Here is a 19,263-nt window from a genome sequence, read left to right as displayed (position 1 = left end):
ATGCTCCCACCTCAGCCTCCCAAGTAGCTAAAACTATAGGCGCACACCACCATGCCCAGCTAATTTTTTTGCAGAAACAGAGTTTCACCATGTTTCCCAGGCTGGTCTCAAATGCCTATGCTCAAGCCATCCACCTGGGCTGGAGTGCAATGGCACCATCTCGACTCACTGCAAGTTCCACTTCCTGGGTTCAAGAAATTCTCCTGCCATAGCCTCCTGAGTAGCTGGGACTACAGGCATGCACCACTGAACTTCTTTTTTTTTTTTAGATGGAGTCTTACTCTGTCACCCAGGCTGGAGTGCAAGGGCGCAGTCTCTGCTCACTGCAACCTCCGCCTCCTGGGCTCAAGCGATTCTCCCACCTCAGCCTCCCAAGTAGCTGGGATTACAGGCACATGCCACCACGCCCAGCTAATTTTTGTATTTTTAGTAGAGACGGGGTTTCACCACGTTGGCCAGGCTGGTCTCAAACTCCTGACCTCAGGTGATCTACCCGCCTCGGCCTCCCAAAGTGCTGGGATTACAGGCATGAGCCACCATGGCTGGACTGAACTTCTTAAAATGCGAAATATAATAGGCTGGGTGCCGTGGCTCACGCCTGTAATCCTAGCACTTTGGGAGACTGAGGTGAGTGGATTGCTTGAGCCCAGGAGTTTGAGACCAGCCTGGGCAACATGGCAAGACACTGTCTCTACAAAAAAGACAAAGAAAAATACAATAGTTGCCGTGAAAACTCATAATTGCTAAGACAATTATAACTTCTGCCATTATTTTATCATTTTCAATATGACAAATGTAAAAATAATATTTTCATTGGGCCTGAAAACAGCCATTTTCATATAAAAAATCTAAAAGCCACAATCAAATGTGAGTCAAAACCATTAATGTACAATAGTGTTTGCATAGTAAAAATATGTTGTCTGCATTTGGTGTTGGTATTTATAAAGAATAGGAGCATCTCACAGCCTTTTCTATATGCAAAACATGTTAAGCCAAGCATAACTTCTATTCAGAAGAGTTCAGAGTTTAAGGGAGAATAAAAATTGGTTTACTGTGACTTCATTTTTAAGCATAGTGCATACAAAAATTAAAGAAAAGTTTTTTTATATGCAACACTTCGGATATGGAAAAAGCTAGTGATTTTTAGACCCTTGCCAGGATCAGTGAGGGCTTATTCCCAACAAACTGTTAAGGAGCTACAGTTAAGAATCTAACCTAAGGCCGGGCGCGGTGGCTCATGCCTGTAATCTCAGCACTTTGGGAGACCGAGGCAGGTGCATCACCTGAGGTCAGGAGTTCGAGACCAGCCCGACCAACATAAAGAAATCCCGTCTCTACTAAAAATACATAAAAAAAAAATTAGCCAGGCATGGTGGCACATGCCTGTAATCCCAGCTACTCGGGAGGTTGAGGCAGGAGAATTGCTTGAACCCGGGCAGTGGAGGTTGCGGTGAGCTGAGATCATGCCATTGCACTCCAGCCTGGGCAACAAGAGCGAAACTCTGTCTCAAAAAAAAAAAAAGTATCTAACCTAAGAAATGTAGGTAAAGAGAAGGGAAAAGTCCAGCAAGAAGTGGAATTAGAACCAAGAAACAAACTCATATGAAAATTAGAAATATTTTAAAATGTGAGGACAATGGTTTACAAGTATATACAAATCTTCCCGACAGAGGCTGAGAAGGTGATAACATGAAAATGCATTTAAATGCACCCAACAGTTGAGTGCCTGTTACCTGCAAGACACTGAACCAAATGAAGCACTATCCCTTTCATTCAAAATCACAAAATATTATACAAGAGATGGATGCAGATCTCATAAATAATTGTATCATAAATCTGACTGATAGCTTCAATAATGAAGGCATTACAACAGCTAAAGTAACATAGAGAATTGAAATAACTGGATCTTGGGGTGACAAAAATGGTGGAAGACTTTACATAAAAGGTGACATTTGAACTGTGTCCTAGAAGAGAAAAAGAATTTTACTATATACAAAAGAATTTTAGTCAGGCATGGTGGTGCATGCCTGTAGTCCCACTGCTTGGGAGGCTGAAGCAGGAGGATCACTTGAGCCCAGGAGATGGAGGCTGTTGTGAGCTATGATCACACCACTGCACTCCACCCTGGGTGACAGAGCAAGACCCTATCTCAAAATTAATAAATTTCCTTTAATTTTAAGAAGAGAATTTTGTAGTTATTATCCATTTAATTTCTCCACCATTAATTGCACCACCATCTATTCCCCACCTCTCACTGCCCTGCTTCCTAACTAGTATCCTGCCTTAACTGACTATCCTTGGTGGTTCATTGGCTTCTGGTTGAGTTTGGCCAGTGAAAGACACTGGCTGGAGATCAGAGGGCAGGAGGACAGAGAAGTTGGGATATTTCTTCACTGTGCCCATTCTGCTTCCACACTGTGATTCTTGCAGTGGCTGCCACCCTCTCTGCCTGCATTTCCTACTGATGGCCCCTTTCCCATGGCTCCAACTTGCACTGAGCTATGATGGCAGTGTTTCATCCCATGGGACCTTTGGGCCTAGGGAAGATAAGAGGTTCCCACTTTGCTAGTCTTTGGTTATCTCAACCACTCTTGTGATTTCCCTTTACCCTGACTGTATCTCTGTAAATTATCCCTTCATTTGAACCATCTGAGTTGAAACCAGTCCTAATCAAAGAGAATAGTATACGCAAAGACAAGAAGGAACTCATGATTGGGGAAACACAACTGCAATTTAGGTAACATCATGGAGATGGGAATCTAGGAATGGTTTTAGAGAATTGGGGCCAGATAATGAGGGCCTTACTATGGAATCTGTATTTTATTCTTGGGTAAAAGAAATCCAATGGGGCCAGGCACAGTGGCTCACGCCTGTAATCCCAGCACTTTGGGAGGCCAAGGCAGGCGGATCACAAGGTCAGGAGTTCACCAGCCTGGCCAACATGGTGAAACCCCGTCTCTACTAAAAATATAAAAATTAGCTGAGTGTGGTGGCACATGCCTGTAGTTCCAGCCACGTGAGAGGCTGAGGCAGGAGAATCGCTTGAACCTCGGAGGCGGCGATTGCGGTGAGCCAAGATCATGCCACTGCACTCCAGCCTGGGCAACAGAGCAAGACTTTGTTTCAAAAAAAAAAAAAAAAAAAAAAAAAAAGAAAAGAAAAAGAAAAAAGAATCCAATGGTGGTTATTGAGTACGTATCAACAGAACTGTGTTCCAGAAAGATCTCTCTACTAGCATGTGAAAGATGGAATGAATAGGAAAGAGCCTGAAGGCAGGGAGGCCAGGTAAGAAGTGATTGCAATAAGATTCTAAAATGGGGCGTTGGTTGGTGGTAGGGAGAATGGATTTCAAAAGGGTCTGCAGTAAAATCTATAGGATATGGCAACTAAGTAAGAGAAAGGGCAAAGCAGAAGGGATTTTTAAAGATGACTTCCAGGTCTCCAGCTTGGCAGCATGAGAAAATGGTGACCCTATAACACAGAAGAAGTTCTTAGAATTGGGGCAAAAAAAAAAGATTTGGGGCATAATGAATTTGATCTGGACCACATAGAAAGTGAGATACTACAGAGCATTTAGACTGAGATGCTCAGCAAAGAGCTAGACAATAGAGTCTATGTATCAGGAATGAGGCAAGAACTAAGGACAAAAGCAGCTATTCTAGAGCTGTGGTTCTCATTCCTAGCTGCACTGAGAAGTGTTATAAAAAAGAGATGTCAGGGCCCAACCCCAGATCAATTAAACAGAATTTCTGGGTGAAGCTAGAAATCAGATGTAACTGGCCGAGCACGGTGACTCACTCCTGTAATCCCAGCACTTTGGGAGGTCCAGGCGGGCAGATCACCCAAGGTCAGGAGTTCAAGACCAGCCTGGCCAAGGTGGTGAAATCCCAACTTTACTAAAAACATTTTAAAAAATTAGCGAGGCCTGGTGGTGTGTGCCTATAGTCCCAGCTACTCGGAGGCTGAGGCATGAGAATCACTTGAACTCGGGAGGCGAAGGTTTCAGTGAGCCGAGATCACGCCACTGCACTCCAGCCTGGGTGATAGAGCGAGACTCTGTCTCAAAAATAAAGAAAAATCAGTAGATATTTACCCAAATTTAATGGGATTTCATCTGGGTTTTCAAAGAGCTCCCTAGATAATTCTTAGAGGCATCCAGATTGAGAAGCACTAATCCAGAGCAAAACAGAAGCAGCTAAGGGTGGACATTTGAGAACACAAACATTTAAGGTACTGACAGAGAGGTGATAAAGAGCACAGATGCTAAAGAACAGCAGATAAAAGCAGCAAAGAGAATTTCATCAAAGGAGTGGACAAGCACATCACATGCCACGGAGAGGTGAAAGAAGAATGGGAAGAAGCCTCTAGCTTTGGTAAATAGAAGGTCATTACAGATCTCTGGGAACACAGTTTTAGTACTTGCAGAAGCCAAGTTGCAATAGGCAAGGGGTAGATTTTAGATGAGGACCTGGAGGGAGAGAGTGTAGACTACTCTTTCAAGAAGTTTCGTGCAATAGGTAGGAGAAAACAGCCAGTAACTTACAATTAAAAAGGTGGAGAGAAAGTGTTGCTGGATTTTAATTTAGAGCATATGAGTTGACTATGGGTAAGGAGATAAAGAAGAGAGAACGAAGATACACAGTAGAGAAGAAGTTATTGGAAGAACATGGCCCTGGAGCAGCCTGGGGTGGGTGGCATCAAAATTATCAGTGTAGTAGTCAGCCTGGGAAAGGAATACCAAAAAGATAAGCTTTAAGTTGAGGAAAGTTGAGTGAGCTCAAGCCATTATTTTCATTATGAGATGGAAGGTATGAATGACTGCTGAGAGCAAAGAAGGTAGAAGGCAAAGGGTCAAGAGGCCCGGAATAGTTACTGACGCTTTCCATGTGCCAGGCACCATACTGAAATTTTACCACATTACCTCATTCAGTAATTAAATGTGCTTTTCAAGGACAAATGTTGTCAGATGGAATAAGAAGCAAAAATTAGGACCACTTTGTCCACTTTCAGCCATCTAGTCACCTTGCTCCTCTGGTACCATTACTAATTAATGGCCCTTTAAAGCCTGGCCTGCAATTTGTTTTAAGTTAAATGCTCATTTCTAGCTGAATAGGAAAACATTTCAGTTATGATAATATTCCTTTAGTTTAGTTTAAAGGAAAGAGCTGTAGAAGATCATTTAAGAAAGAGAAAAAGCCTATTATTGAGAACACTCCATTAGTGAGAGCAAAGGGAGATGGGGCTTCAAAAAGATAGTGTTAAATGGTCCAAGTTAACGGCAATCAATAAATATTTAGGAAGTGGATTTAACCTGCATATTTTTAAGTTCTTCTTTCAAATGTAAAAAAATATAACTTTAGATTCCAAATCTATCAAGGGCTAGGACTGTGCCACCTCTTTCTACAATGCCTAGGCAATTGTGGAGGCTCAGTGGATGGCAGCTGAGGTTGAGCCATCCTGCACTGCCTGACCCTCCTATTATTATCTTTGCCATGTGGTACAGGCAACCAGACCAGCAAGCTAGAAGACTTCTAATTTTCCAGATGGTAAATGGGAACCTCTAAATGGGAAACTTGTGACATTGACTGTCCCTTTCTCTGCGAAACACTTTCCAAAATTGGGATCAATACATTCAGAAGTAGCTGCCAAGGATTTCCTTCATTGACATCCAAGTGAACCAAGTTGAGATTGGGGGTAGCTGCAAGAAAAGGCAAGAAACATGACCAGCCTGCCTGAAAGAGCCTTGGAGGACCCCAGAGGGATGACCCTTCAAGTGGGAGTAAAGTTGGGGATGAGGTTGCAGAAGGCTGGGAGAGGTTGGGATAAAATCAGGGTAGCATCCCTACTTGGCTCTCCACAGCGTGAATATTGAACCACTAGAAATTGTTTCCAAAGCTGCTGTTGGACCCCTTGCCACAGGCTGCTGAACCATGCCTCTAAAATACTACATTATTCTATCCCTATCCATTTATTATTTTTGTCTAACCTTCTACTATGGTTTTAATGTGTGATACAGTTTGGCTGTGTCCCCACCCAAATCTCAACTTGAATTGTATCTCCCAGAATTCCCATGTGTTGTGGGAGGGACCCGGGGGGAGGTAATTGAATCATGGGGGCTTGTCTTTCCCATGCTATTCTAGTAATAGTGAATAAGTCTCATGAGATCTGATGGGTTTCTGCTTTTGCTCCTTCCTCATTTTTCTCTTGCCACTGCCATGTAAGAAGTGCCTTTCACCTCCTGCCATGATTCTGAGGCCTCCCCAGCCATGTAGAAATGTAAGTCCAATTAAACCTCTTTTTCTTCCCAGTCTCGTGTATGTCTTTATCAGCAGCGCAAAAATGGACTACTACAATGTGTCTCCTCCAAAATTCCTGTTAAAACTTAATCCCTATTGTGCTGGTATTAAGAGGTGGGGCCTTTGGGGAAGTGATTCAGTCACGAGGGCAGAGCCCTCCTGAATAGATTAGTGCCTTATAAAAGGGCTAGGGAACTAGCTAAGGCCCTTTTTGCCCTTTTGCCTTCTTCCAGGTGAGGACCCAGTGTTCGCCCCTCCTGCCATGTGAGGATGCCCAGCAAGATGGCCCTCACCAGGTATCAAATGCCAGAACCTTGATCTTGGACTTCCCAGCCCCTACAACTATGAGAAATAAATTTCGATTGTTTATACATTACTCAGTCCATGGTATCCTGTTATAGCAGCACAAACGGAGTAAGACACTCACTTACAAAAAACAGACTCAAAATAATCAGGCCCCCTTTTCTTGAACCCAGAACGGCATGCAGTGCTGTGGAGACTGGATCCTGGTTTGCATCACTCACCCACTACAATTTCAGCTCCAAGCACATAAAGTAATTAGTACTCACTTTTTTTTTTTGTTTTTTGTTTTGAGACAGAGTCTCCCTCTGTTGCCCAGGCTGGAGTGCAGTGGCGCCATCTCGGCTCATTGCAACCTCCGCCTCCCAGGATCAAGCGATTCTCCTGCCTCAGCCTCCTGAGTAGCTGGGACCACGGTGTGCACCACCATGCCCAGCTAGTTTTTTCTATTTTTAGTAGAGACAGGGTTTCACCATGTTGGCCAGGCTGGTCTCAAACTCCTGACCTCAAGTGATCTGCTCGCCTCAGCCCCCCAAAGTGCTGGGATTACAGGCATGAGCCACCACACCTGGCCACTCACTAGATATTTATTGAATGTTTGAACCTTGCTTATATGATGCTGCTTTCTTGTGTTTCTGCATGTTATTTTTATTTGTTTAAAAAGCTTCTTGTGTTGGCCGAGAGAGGTGGCTCACGCATGTAATTCCAGCACTCTGGGAGGCCGAGGCAGGCAGATCACCTGAGGTTAGGAGTTCGAGACCAGCCTGACCAATATGATGAAATCCCATCTCTACTAAAAATACAAAAATTAGCCAGGCATGGTGGAATGTGCCTGTAATCCCAGCTACTAGGGAGGCTGAGACAGGAGAATCGCTTGAACCCAGGAGGCGGAGGTTGCAGTGAGCTGAGATCATGCCACTGCACTCCAGCCTGGGCAATAAGAGTGAAACTCCATCTCAAAAAAAAAAAAAAAAAAAAAAAAAACCTTCTTGTGAAATTTTTTTAGAAGTATTACTATATTTTTCATAATTCTTTACATGGAAGAGTCAAAGAAAATTTTGATGCTGTAAGGGTCACTATGTAGACAAACAGATGTTTGGCTAATCTTCTAGTAGACTTATTTCACCTATAGTCCTGGAAGTATTCTAACATCGGAAAATGAGGGAGTATTAATGTGAAACTTTAAAGTGGAACAGACAGGGCTTTCTGTCTGTTTCCAAAATAAATAGCTTTCAGGTGAAATTATTATGGCTGGAAGACTTTATGGGTGACATCACCTGACATTTACTTAAGGTGTTTTTTTAGGGGAGCCTCTATTTCTCTCCTAGAGTCTTGTTCTTCCCTCTTACTTACATCCTGGGCAGGTAGATACAAAACAAACATTTTCATTTCATCTCCACTCCAAAAATCCAAAATAACGACAAGATCAGCAATAGAACCCACACATTTGGCTTTATTGTAGATTCCATCCTACTTAACCTTTTTACCCACTGGCCCTCTGCTCCTGGTGCCTCGGGTTAAAGAAGATTTGCTTGAAACAAACATCAGCTGTCTCTCAACCTCTTTCTTAGCAGCTCACCTTCATCATCATACCCACTTGGTAGGGTGACTCCTAAACTATAATAACAAGAATAGTAAAGTTAATTTTATATAGACTCTTTCATACAGCTGGCTCCATTACAACATGTTTGCCAAGTTAAGAGTTGTAGAATTACAGTGCAGCACTACTGAGTTAAATAATAAGTAACAGCTGATACTAATAATAGCTTAATTTATGGTCTGGTAGAACTGTCACAACTGAGGCAGCTCTCCCTCTGCCCCTCATCTCTTCTCTGTCTTTTCCTTCTCCCTCCTTTGGAAACAGCCACCAAGTGAAGTGCTGAGATTGTCATATGACTCACCATAAATTCAAGTCACTTATTCTTATAACCTGTAGCTTTATAACCGTATTATATCAAAAATTTCCAACTTCTTTGAAGTTGCATCACCCTATCATTGTTTAATTTCACAACTGGTTCTCCTGATGTCATGTGCTCGGTGGGAGGGGCATACCAGGCTAGATTCAAACCTCTTGAGAGTTTGCAACATCCTCAGAAAGATTCTTGCTTTTTACAAGATCGAGGTTGACAATTACTACTCTGCACAGTAACACTGTAAAGAGGATCCTCCTTTCTACTTAAACCAAGGAATTAGAAAGCAAACAAATCAGCAAGGCCATACCGGGATCACATAGCAGAAATTGGGAATGACTATTTTTCCAATGTCTGTGGATGGTGACTTTCCATGAACACTCTGGTCTCACTATAATTGGAAAGAATTCCAAAATATTATTACATAAACCTGATTTTAAAACCCATGCAGCTTTGATTTAACACAGAATGCCCATTTTATCACATTTGGGTTTTTTTAAATTTTTTTTATTTTTACCACCAGGCAAGAATATCACATTTGTTAATCACTTATCTCCCCATTTACTGACCTTAGTCTCTAAGTCCTGGAGCAGAATATGGACTTTTCCTACAATCAAATAACCTGGTGACCAAACTCTCCAGTTCCATCAAAGCTGCACCCTTTGTAAAATATACTCTAGGGAGCTAGAGGGAGTTTGGACCTAGAAGCTTTTCATATTGTCTGCTGCAGCATGTAGGATAATTGTCAGGGTGTCCTCTATGCTCTGATAAAACTGCCAACTTATCTGAATGAAATGTATCTCAATAACACTCCATGCTGGGGAGGGGGCCTGAGCAGGAAGCAGCAGTAACATTTTATGCACCTTTTATTATTGCATAAAAGTGATTAACTGACAATTTATTACTAGGTTAAGACATCAAAACAATTAAAATGAACATAAAAATCTAACATTGCCAGGCTCTTCCGGGCTACCTGAGAGTAACTGACACATCCATCCTTTTCTATCCCTCACGTGAAACTCTTCATAGGAACTCACCTTGCTCTCCAAGACCTCCCTACCTAGAGGTGACAGAAGAGCCCAGGTCTGAGTCCCATCAAACATGGAGTTGTTTTTTGTCAGGGGAAGAGATCTCTTAGTTTTCTTGAAGATGAACTTGTCTGCTATGAAAGAAAAAAAATCAGTGCTTTTAATAACTGTGAGCAGGGCACAGCGGCTCATGCCTGTAATCCCAGCACTTTGGGAGGCCAAGGCGGGTGGATCACTTGAGGTCAGGAGTTCAAGACCAGCCTGACCAACATGGTGAAACCCCATCTCTACTAAAAAATACAAAAACTAGCCAGGCATGGTGGTGGGCGCCTATAATCCCAGCTACTTGGGAGGCTGAGGCAAGAGAATCACTTGAAACCAGGAGGTGGAGGTTGCAGTGAACCAAGGTCACACCACCGCACTCCAGCCTGTGTGACAGGAAGAGACTCTGTCTCAAAAACAAAAACAAAAACAATCTGTGGATGAAACGAGAGATTTTCATTTCTTGCTTCTACCACCACCACATGTTCTTCTTGATTTTGTTTGGCTGATACTAAAATCAGGTTCACAATATTGTATTTGCTCCATCTCTCTCCACCAAAACAGAAGCCTTTCTGCCAACTGTCTTCCTAGTCTCACTGCCCTGTAATATTTGCTAGAATAATAATCATGGAAAACCATACTTGACAAATAGAAATTTTCTTCTGCGGAAAGTTCTTTGGTTTTACTCTATGCTTTCCAGAATACACACCTTTTCTTATTATTTTATTTATTTTATTATTTTTTTTTTTTTGAGACAGGGTCTCACTCTGACACCCAGGCTGGAGTGCAGTGGCATGATCTTGGCTTGCTGCAACCTCCACCTCCCTGGATCAAGCGATTCTCCGGCCTCAGCTTCCTGAGTAGCTGGGATTACAGGCATGCGCCACCATGCCCAGTTAGTTTTTGTGTTTTTTGTAGAGACGGAGTTTCACCATGTTGGTCAGGCTGGTCTTGAACTCCTGGCCTCAAGTGATCTGCCCGCCTTGGCCTCCCAAAGTGCTGGGATTACAGGCATGAGCCACTGCACCCAGCCACAGAATACAAACCTTTTAGATTCTGAATTCAAAATATTCCTCTCTAAGAGGCAATGTCTGACAAACATCAGTTTGAATACCAGTGACACTACTTACTTGCTACAAGGCTCTCTGAGCCTATTTCATCCGTAAAATGGGGCCAAGTCAAGTGAGAGCTATTAGTACTCCCGCCCTATTCTTTTCATTTTAGACAGGGTCTTGCTCTGTCACCCAGGCTGGAGTGCAGAGGCACGACCGTGGCTCACTGCAGCCTCAACATTCTGGGCTCAAGTGATCCTCCCACCCTAGCCTCCCAAGTAGCTGGAACCACAGGCACGCACCACCACAACCAGCTAATTTTAAAACTTTTTTTGTAGAGATGGGGTCTTGCTGTGTTACCCAGCCTGATCTCAAACTCCTGGCTCAAACAATCCTCCCTCCTCAGCCTTCCAAAGTGCTAGGATCACAGGTGTGAGCCACCCCACCTGGTCCTCCCACCCTATTCTTGCTATTTATGTCCATGTCTTAACTATGGTGATCAGCCTGAATTTCATTGCCTACAATATTTGCCACGTGTGGCAACTAGTTTAATTACGATGATATGAGTTGGCAGAAAATAATTTTTTGGAAGTAATCAGATATCTGAAATTTCCTGGGCTCATCTTAAAGGGTGTATTGAGGAACTAAACAAAGACAAGGGTTCTCAGACTTCATATACCCTTAGGATTTCTCACCTTCCACTTAAGAAATGACCACCCCACCCCTGTGTTTATTTATTAGTGACTCAAGAACTTTTATAAGCCAATTACAATGAACAAACAGCTCTTATTGTAAGGCAATAAACAACAGTAAACCCTGACCTTATCTAAATTCATTGCTCTAAGCCACAGACCTGCAGGGAATAGTTACATTTACAACTCACCCTTGGTAAGCCAGTGTGGTGGCTCACACCTGTAATCCCAGCACTTTGGGAGGCAGAAGCCAGTGGATCACGAGGTCAGGAGTTCGAGACCAGCCTGGCCAATATGGTGAAATCCCACGTCAACTAAAAATACAAAAAAAAAAAATTAGCCAGGCGTGGTGGCACACACTTGTAGTCCCAGCTACTTGGGAGGCTGAGGCAGAAGAATCACTTGAACCCAGGAGGCAGAGGTTGCAGTGAGCCAAAATTGTACCACTGCACTCCAGCCTGGGTGACAGAGAAAGACTCCATCAAAAAAAAAAAAACAAAAAAAACAACTCACCGTTGGTTAGGATTGAAGATTTATAGGCACACTAGTCCAGCTGTCTTTGGGGAACTTGAGGAACCAATAGTGCCAAAATACCAAGTATGGAAAGCCAAAGAACTCATATCAGTCAGAGTTACCTTTGGTCTTTCATGGTGTGGGCAGGGGCAGGGGAAGTGGAGGTATAGAGGAAAGAGAGAATCAGAGAAAAATCCATGTTTATCCAAACCCCTTTTTCCCAGGACATTTGAGTATGTAGTACATTATAGACAATTTCTCCTCCAGGTATATAAACCAATAAAATAAATGGAAAATCATTATTGTCCAGTGAAACATGGCAGACTGTACACTCACATTTATCTCTATTCTCACAAAAACAAACTCAGCAAAGAAATTTTTAAATGACATAAACACACAAAGACAAACAGAGCATTAGACAAAGACACAGTAAATGAGAGAAATAAACAATATTAAGAGAAAGCTGAAACCTAAACCTACAGGAAAAACAGATCAACGAGTCTGAGAATCCCAGAAAGACTCAGCCTTTGGGGGCAACTGGTTCCTCCGAAGGTGGGAGTGCTGGGCAGGCCTGAAAACAGGAGGACTGGTTGAAACTTCGTATAAAAACCAAGTTAGATCTCTTCCGGTTCTTCTCCTCTTAACCCTCCTTGCCAGGCAGCTGTCCGTGCCCCACTCCTGCAGGATTCTGCCTGGGAGAGGGAGATCTGGCACAGCTGGAAGAAAGACGGACGGATGGTGGCACTGAAGACCATCTCTACACTGTTTCCCTCCTACAACTGGCTTTTGGCGCATTAGCAGCTAGGCTTGTAGCACCCAGGGGCGAATGGAAGAATTTTTCTCTGAGAAAACTGATAAACCTATGAAAAATTGGGATCCCATACAATTGAAATGGGAGAGTTCCCTGACCCACCGTGGTACGTGCAACAGGGGTGTGGCTCATTATTTTGCCGCTGCACGCTGGAACTCCTTACGGGAGGGGAAGCACACAGGTGAGCAGATGCAGGAGCCGGGGCGAGCACTTTTGGGCTCTGGCGCCACAGCAGTGTCTAGTGGTGTTACAACGCTCTTTTAGCCCTGCCGTTCCCCTGGAGTTTGGTCTTTCTGCATCCTATCTCCTCTCTGACTGCCCCAGCCGAACTCCTCTCAACATTCAGACGCTTCCTTTCTTCTCTCCATCTCTGCCGTGCCACTCTGCTGCTCTGTCACTCTGCCACTCTTCTGCTTGTGGAGCCTGGGGTTTGGGGTTTATATGGCCACAGGATAGGGGGACATGACAGGCCAAAAGGCAACATTTGGGTGCAAAAACAGGAATGCCTGTTGTCATTTACGGCTGCAGGTCCAAGCTTGAGGGTGGAGCCCTCGCCAGGGACTCCACCCTCCTGCATCCTGTCCATATCACAATCGCCCTGAAGGAAGTCAACAGTTGACTAAGATCCCAGGTAGAATGGCCAGATAAATTCAGATTTCAGATAAACAATGAATAATTTCTTATTATTATGATGTTCATAGTAATATTTGGGACACACTTATATTTTTAAATTATTTATTACTTATCTGAAATTCAAATTTAATTGGGCAGCCTATATTTTATCTGGCATCTCTACTCCCTACCCCGAATTCTGTTCTAGTTGGCTCCTTAGTGCCTCATTCTCATACAGGAATAGAAAGCTAGGAACACACCAGGTATGTGAGGAAAGCCTCCAACCGGAAAGAGAGACCAAAAGCAAGTAAGAGTACAAAGGAACTCAGGAGAAATGAACAATGAAGGAAGCAGAAGAGGCTAAACAAACTGAAAGTATTATCAGAGAGATAAGAGAAAAATTGCTCCATGAAACAGGAACAGCATTCTACTAAAGAAAGAAGGAGGCCGGGCACAGTGGCTCATGCCTGTAATCCCAGCACTTTGGAAGGCCGAGGTGGGCGGATTGCCCCAGCTCAGGAGTTCGAAACCAGCCTGGGCAACATGGTGAAACCCCGTCTCTACTAAAAATGCAAAAAATTAGCCGGGCATGGTGGTGGGCGCCTGTAATCCCAGCTACTCGGGAGGCTGAGGCAGGAGAATCACTTGAACCCGGGAGGCAGAGGTTGCAGTGAGCCAAGATCGCGCCACTGCACTCCAGCTCGGGTGACAGAGCAAAACTCTGTCCCAAAAGAAAAAAAAAAAAGAAGGAAGGGAAAGAGGTTAGTTATGAAACTAAGATAGTTTGAAAATATAGAAATCATTTTTTCAATTATCTCAGTTACAGAAATCCGTTTTCTCAGTTTTCTTAAAAATTTACTAGAAGCGTTGGAAGATACATAGAGGAGTCCTGGTCTGAGATGTTGAAGGCCAAGGTGGATGAGGATCTCCATGTGGGGAATGCCCCAGCACAAGGCATCAGAGGTCAAAGGGGGAGAGAAAAGAATTTGTGTAGGGGAGGAGGTGGCATTGGGAACAGGAGCTTGGTTACACATGGGGGATTGATCAAATATGTAAATAAATTACAGATAACAAGGGTCAGTTTTCTACTGCCAGAGAAGGGAGGTACAAATACAGAAAGAGAGAAAATGAAGATGTGCTCTGTGATACTGAATTAGAATTGGAGGTATCACTATGAACTCATGGTTTCCAATACAGAAGAAATAAATAGAAAACTAGAGATGTAAATGTATGTGTTTGTATATATATATACATACATTCCTTAGCTCTGCTCACTGAGCAGCCCTGGGCAACAGTGATGCCTCAATAGTAACAAGCACATCTAGCACCCAGATCTCGGCTTCTAAACTTAATTGTTCACTAGGGCTCTTCGGAGAAATGGCTGACTCCTGGGACAAGGAAAGTACAAAATAAGCCTGGAAAATGTGTTGTGTCAGAAAACAAGAAAGTGCTTAAAGAATGATGGTGACATGTCAAAGGACATGGAAATCAGCTTGAAGGACTCCTAATGACTAAGCTGGAAACAATTTGAGCATCAAAATATGTAACTAATAAGTTAAAAGTCTGATGAGGAATGGAATATTTGCAGTTTCTAAGTAAATCCCTCATAATTACTTATTTATTATGAAATAACTGGTCTGTAATTTTCAAAAGTGCCAAGGTCATGTAAGTCAAAGAGACTGACCAATTAATTCTTCTAGACTGAAGGAGGATAAAGACATTATTGAGACAACTACTAAAACTTGAATGGGATCTAAATATTGAATGATAGTAATACATCAACGTTAATTTCCTAATTTTCACAGCTTTATTATGGTTTTTGTAGGTTACATCCTTGTTTGTAGGAAATATACATTAAAATTTGTAGGGTGATAGGGCATCAGATAAACAATTAACTCTCAAATAATTCAGGAAGAAAAGTTCTGTACACTGTGAAAGTGTGATCGTTTTGCAGGGGACTAGAATGGGCTACACCCAAATATGGCCCTTTGACACAGGATTATTTTAAGCTGAAGACAACTGAGAAATGGAAAAAAGCTCTCTGCCCACCCCTCCCACACTCCCATTTGACTAAAAGAAGATTTAGTTTCTTAATCATCTGAAACTCTTATTGGCCCAGAGACGGCACTAAGAGAAATCTACATGACAAACATTACTAAACCAACTTTTATCTTCCAGGAATTTCGCCCATATATTTAGCGTCCCACAGTTTGCTGCCCCGAAAAGCCTAAACCCCTTTTCCTTTGTCTTGTCACTTCTCAACATATTGTTCGTTGTTCAAATGTTAAAAAGTCCCAAGTTTTAGCCACCCACTTTGAGTTACTTATCACTGCTCATCACTGAGTTTCTATCGCATGCTGCACATGTTAATAAACGGTTTGTTTTTCTCTTGCTAATCTGTTTTTTTGTCAGCTTAATTCCTAGAGCTCCAGCTGGAGACCCTAGGAGAATAGAGGAAAACGTTTTTTCTTCTTCTACAGTTTCAAGACAAATTATATACATAATATATAATTTATATATAGACAAATTGTACCTAACTATATATAGTTATAGTTATACATATACTTATATATATTTTTGTTTATATATATTTATATGTATCATATAGTTGTGATGATTAAATGGGCCAATGTGTTTTAAAAAAGACTACGTGTGGCCGGGCGCAATGGCTCACGCCTGTAATCCTAGCACTTTGGGAGGCCGAGGCAGGCAGATCACGAGGTCAGGAGATCAAGACCATCCTGGCTGACACGGTGAAACCCCGTCTCTACTAAAAAATACAAAAAATTAGCCGGGCCTGGTGGCAGGCACCTGTAGTCCCAGCTACTCAGGAGGCTGAGGTGGGAGAATGGCGTGAACCCGGGAGGCGGAGCTTGCAGTGAGTGGAGATAGTGCCACTGCACTCCAGCCTGGGTGACAGAGCAAGACTCCGTCTCAAAAAAAAAAAAAAAAAAAAAAAAGACTATGTGTGCTCTAAAGCAGTGACTTCCTGCCATTTGGATTTCATGGTCCTATAAAACTTTTTTTTTTTAATGGGAGAAACACTGTAGTTACCATTTTTTTTATTTAGCCACACGATGACATGAAGAAGAATAATACTAGCATCTATCATTATTATAATTTCATAAATGACTATTTCTGTGAGGAGCATCTCATCTTTGTTACCGGAAAGGGGTCCTGATTCAGACCCAAAGAGAGGGTTCTTGGACCTCCAGCAAGAAAGAATTTGGGGCGAGTCCATAAAGTGAAAGCAAGTTTATGAAGAAAGTAAAGGAATAAAGAATGGCTACTCCATAGACAGATCAGTGGCATGGGCTGCTTAACTGAGTATACTTATAGTCATTTCTGGATTATATGCCAAACAAGGGGTAGATTATTCATGAGTTTCCTGAGAAAGGAGTGGGCACTTCCTGGAACTAAGGGTTCCTCTCCCTTTTAGACCATATAGGGTAACTTTCTGATATTGCCATGGCATTTATAAGCTGTCATAGCTCTGGTAGGAGAGTCTTAGCATGTAATGCATTATAATTAGTGTATAATGAGCAGTGAGGAGGACCAGAGGTCACTTTTGTCACCATCTTGGTTTTGGTGGGTTTTGGCCAGCTTCCTTACCGCACCCTTTTATCAGCAGGGTCTTTGTGACCTGTATCTTGTGCTGACCTGATCTTCTCCTTCTGGAACTTAGAATGCCTAACCTTCTAGGAATGCAGCTCAGTAGGTCTCATCCTTATTTTACCCAGCCCCTATACAAGATGAAGTCACTCTGATTTAAACATCTCTGACAAGTCGGCAGAGACACAATCTCGAAATTTAAAAATTGAATATATTTGCCTCTAAGAAAAACTCAGTACCTTGTCCTTATTCTTATCATTTTGCCATTGCACTAACTTGTGACAATTTCTTCATGAAGCAGGCCATGTCCCCATATTTGGGGCCTGGTCTTTCCTCTTTTCCTGCCCATTCACCTAATCTGTAAGGCTTAACTGCCCCACAGGGTAGCCACTTGCCGCATGTGGTTATTAGGCACTTAAAATGTGGTTAGTTCATTTTAAGTGCTCTACACGTAAAATATATGCTGACTTTCAGACATAGTATAAAAAATGTAAAATATCTCAATAATTTTGTATATTGATTATGTGTAGAAATAATAGTATTTTGGACATACTGGGTTAAACATAATATATCATTAAAAGTAATTTTGCAGCCGGGCATGGTGGCTCACGCCTGTAATCCCAACACTTTGGGAGGCCAAGGCGGGTGGATTGCCTGAGGTCTCAGGAGTTCGAGACTAGCCTGGCCAACATGGTGAAACCCCGTCTCTAATAAAAATACAAAAAATAGGCCGGGCGCGGTGGCTCATGCCTGTAATCCCAGCACTTTGAGAGGCCGAGGCGGGGCGGATCACCAGGTCAGGAGATCGAGACCATCCTGGCTAACACGGTGAAACCCCGTCTCTACTAAAAATACAAAAAATTAGCTGGGAGTGGTGGCGGACGCCTGTAGTCCCAGCTACTCAAGAGGCTGAGGCAGGAGAATGGCGTGAACCCGGAAGGCGGAGCTTGCAGTGAGCGGAGATCACGCCACTGCACTCCAGCCTGGCGACAGAGCCAGACTCCATCTCAAAAAAAACAAAAACAACAACAACAACAAAAAAATAGCCAGGCGTGGTGGCAGGCGCCTGTAATCCCAGCTACTCAAGAGGCCGAGGCAGGAGAATCGCTTGAACCCAGGAGGCGGAGGTTGCAGTAAGCCAAGATCATACCATTGCACTCCAGCCTGGGCAACAAGAGCGAAACTCTGTCCCAAAAAAAAAAAAAAAGGTGGCTCACGCCTGTAATCCCAGCACTTTGGGAGGCCGAGGCGGGCGGATCACAAGGTCAGGAGGTCAAGACCATCCTGGCTAACACGGTGAAACCCCGTCTCTACTAAAAATACAAAAAATTAGCCGGGCGTGGTGGCACATGCCTGTAGTCCCAGCTACCGGGAAGGCTGAGGCAGGAGAATGGCATGAACCCGGGAGGCGGAGCTTGCAGTAAGCCGAGATCGCACCACTGCACTCCAGCCTGGGCGACAGAGTGAGACTCCGTCTCAAAAAAAAAAAAAAAAAAAAAGTAATTTTGCCTATGTTCTTTTACTTTTTTTTTAAGTGGTTACTAGAAAATTTTAAATTATTTATGTGGCTCACATTATATTTCCATGAAACAGCACTGCTATAAAGATACTTTCTTTTCCAAATCAGTTTGCCAGCTTTTCTTATGAAGAAAGAATTGGGAGAGATAAAGAAATGGGATTGGAGAGGTGGGAGTAAAGAGATGGGGGAATGAAGGAAGGGAATAAACACATGGCCTGGGTATTGGGGACAATTTGCAGGATTTGGTGGGTAAAAGCCTTTGTCAGATGTGGATTAAGGAGAGAAAAGAGAATTTCAGAAGTGTTCTCTGGGTTCTGAATCGAATTCCCTGTAGTGTTCTTTTAGAGATTTGCATCTCTAAAGATTGCAGTGCATGTTAAATTTCTTCTTGGTTTCTGGATTACCTTCTTTGATTATGATTTGGGGAAACTGAGCCTCCTGAGGGCTTCAGAATTTATTTGGGTTACTTTATTATTCTAAATAGTCCTTAAATCACTCCACAGAGCTTTTTAGGACTTTCTTTCCATCCTTTTCTTCCATGCTTACCACCCTTCCAAATTGGGCCCAGGGTTACAAAATAAGGGTAGTTGCTCAGTGCTGGGAGGATCCCTCTAGATTTTCAATCTCCTGCCCTGCTAGACTTCACAGTGTTCCTGTGGAATGGACTCTAACAGTGGTCCCTTTCTAATGGAGATCTCATCCCACTGAGGCTTTCTTATGCTCTAGACTCTAAAGATGAAGAGTCATTTCCTTAATGAGATGCCACTTTCTTATCCTCCTCATAAATTAATGATTCAGGCCTTCCCTTTAAACCTCCCCCAAGGCAAAATGGTCCAGGATACACACTGCTCCATCCCATGGGGAAATCCACTTTCT

The 19,263-nt window shown here is 42.9% G+C and overlaps 1 protein-coding gene across 1 annotated transcript in view, besides 1 other annotated feature; it reads right to left on the bottom strand.

Annotated features, from left to right (window-relative positions):
* The window catches only part of FUT8 (fucosyltransferase 8), a 387,280-nt gene that overhangs the window by 357,704 nt on the left and 10,313 nt on the right, over positions 1–19,263 (bottom strand). The window contains exons 2-3 of the mRNA XM_047431179.1: positions 11,512–11,634; positions 9,544–9,668 (exon numbers count right to left, since the gene is read on the bottom strand). The gene's annotated coding sequence lies outside the window, so the exon portion shown is untranslated. The remainder of the gene's footprint in view (positions 1–9,543; positions 9,669–11,511; positions 11,635–19,263) is intronic.
* Positions 14,237–14,306: an enhancer, noted in NCBI's record as "active region_8562". NCBI's record gives its function as "activates an Ori minimal core promoter by ATAC-STARR-seq in GM12878 lymphoblastoid cells {active_cell/tissue: GM12878}" and the evidence as "EXISTENCE:reporter gene assay evidence [ECO:0000049][PMID:35858748]".

This window comes from Homo sapiens, chromosome 14 (genome assembly GCF_000001405.40).
Source record: "Homo sapiens chromosome 14, GRCh38.p14 Primary Assembly".
Taxonomy (NCBI): Eukaryota; Metazoa; Chordata; class Mammalia; order Primates; family Hominidae; genus Homo; species Homo sapiens.
Note: the sequence above shows the minus strand (reverse complement) of the source record. Positions and strands in the feature narration are given on the sequence as shown.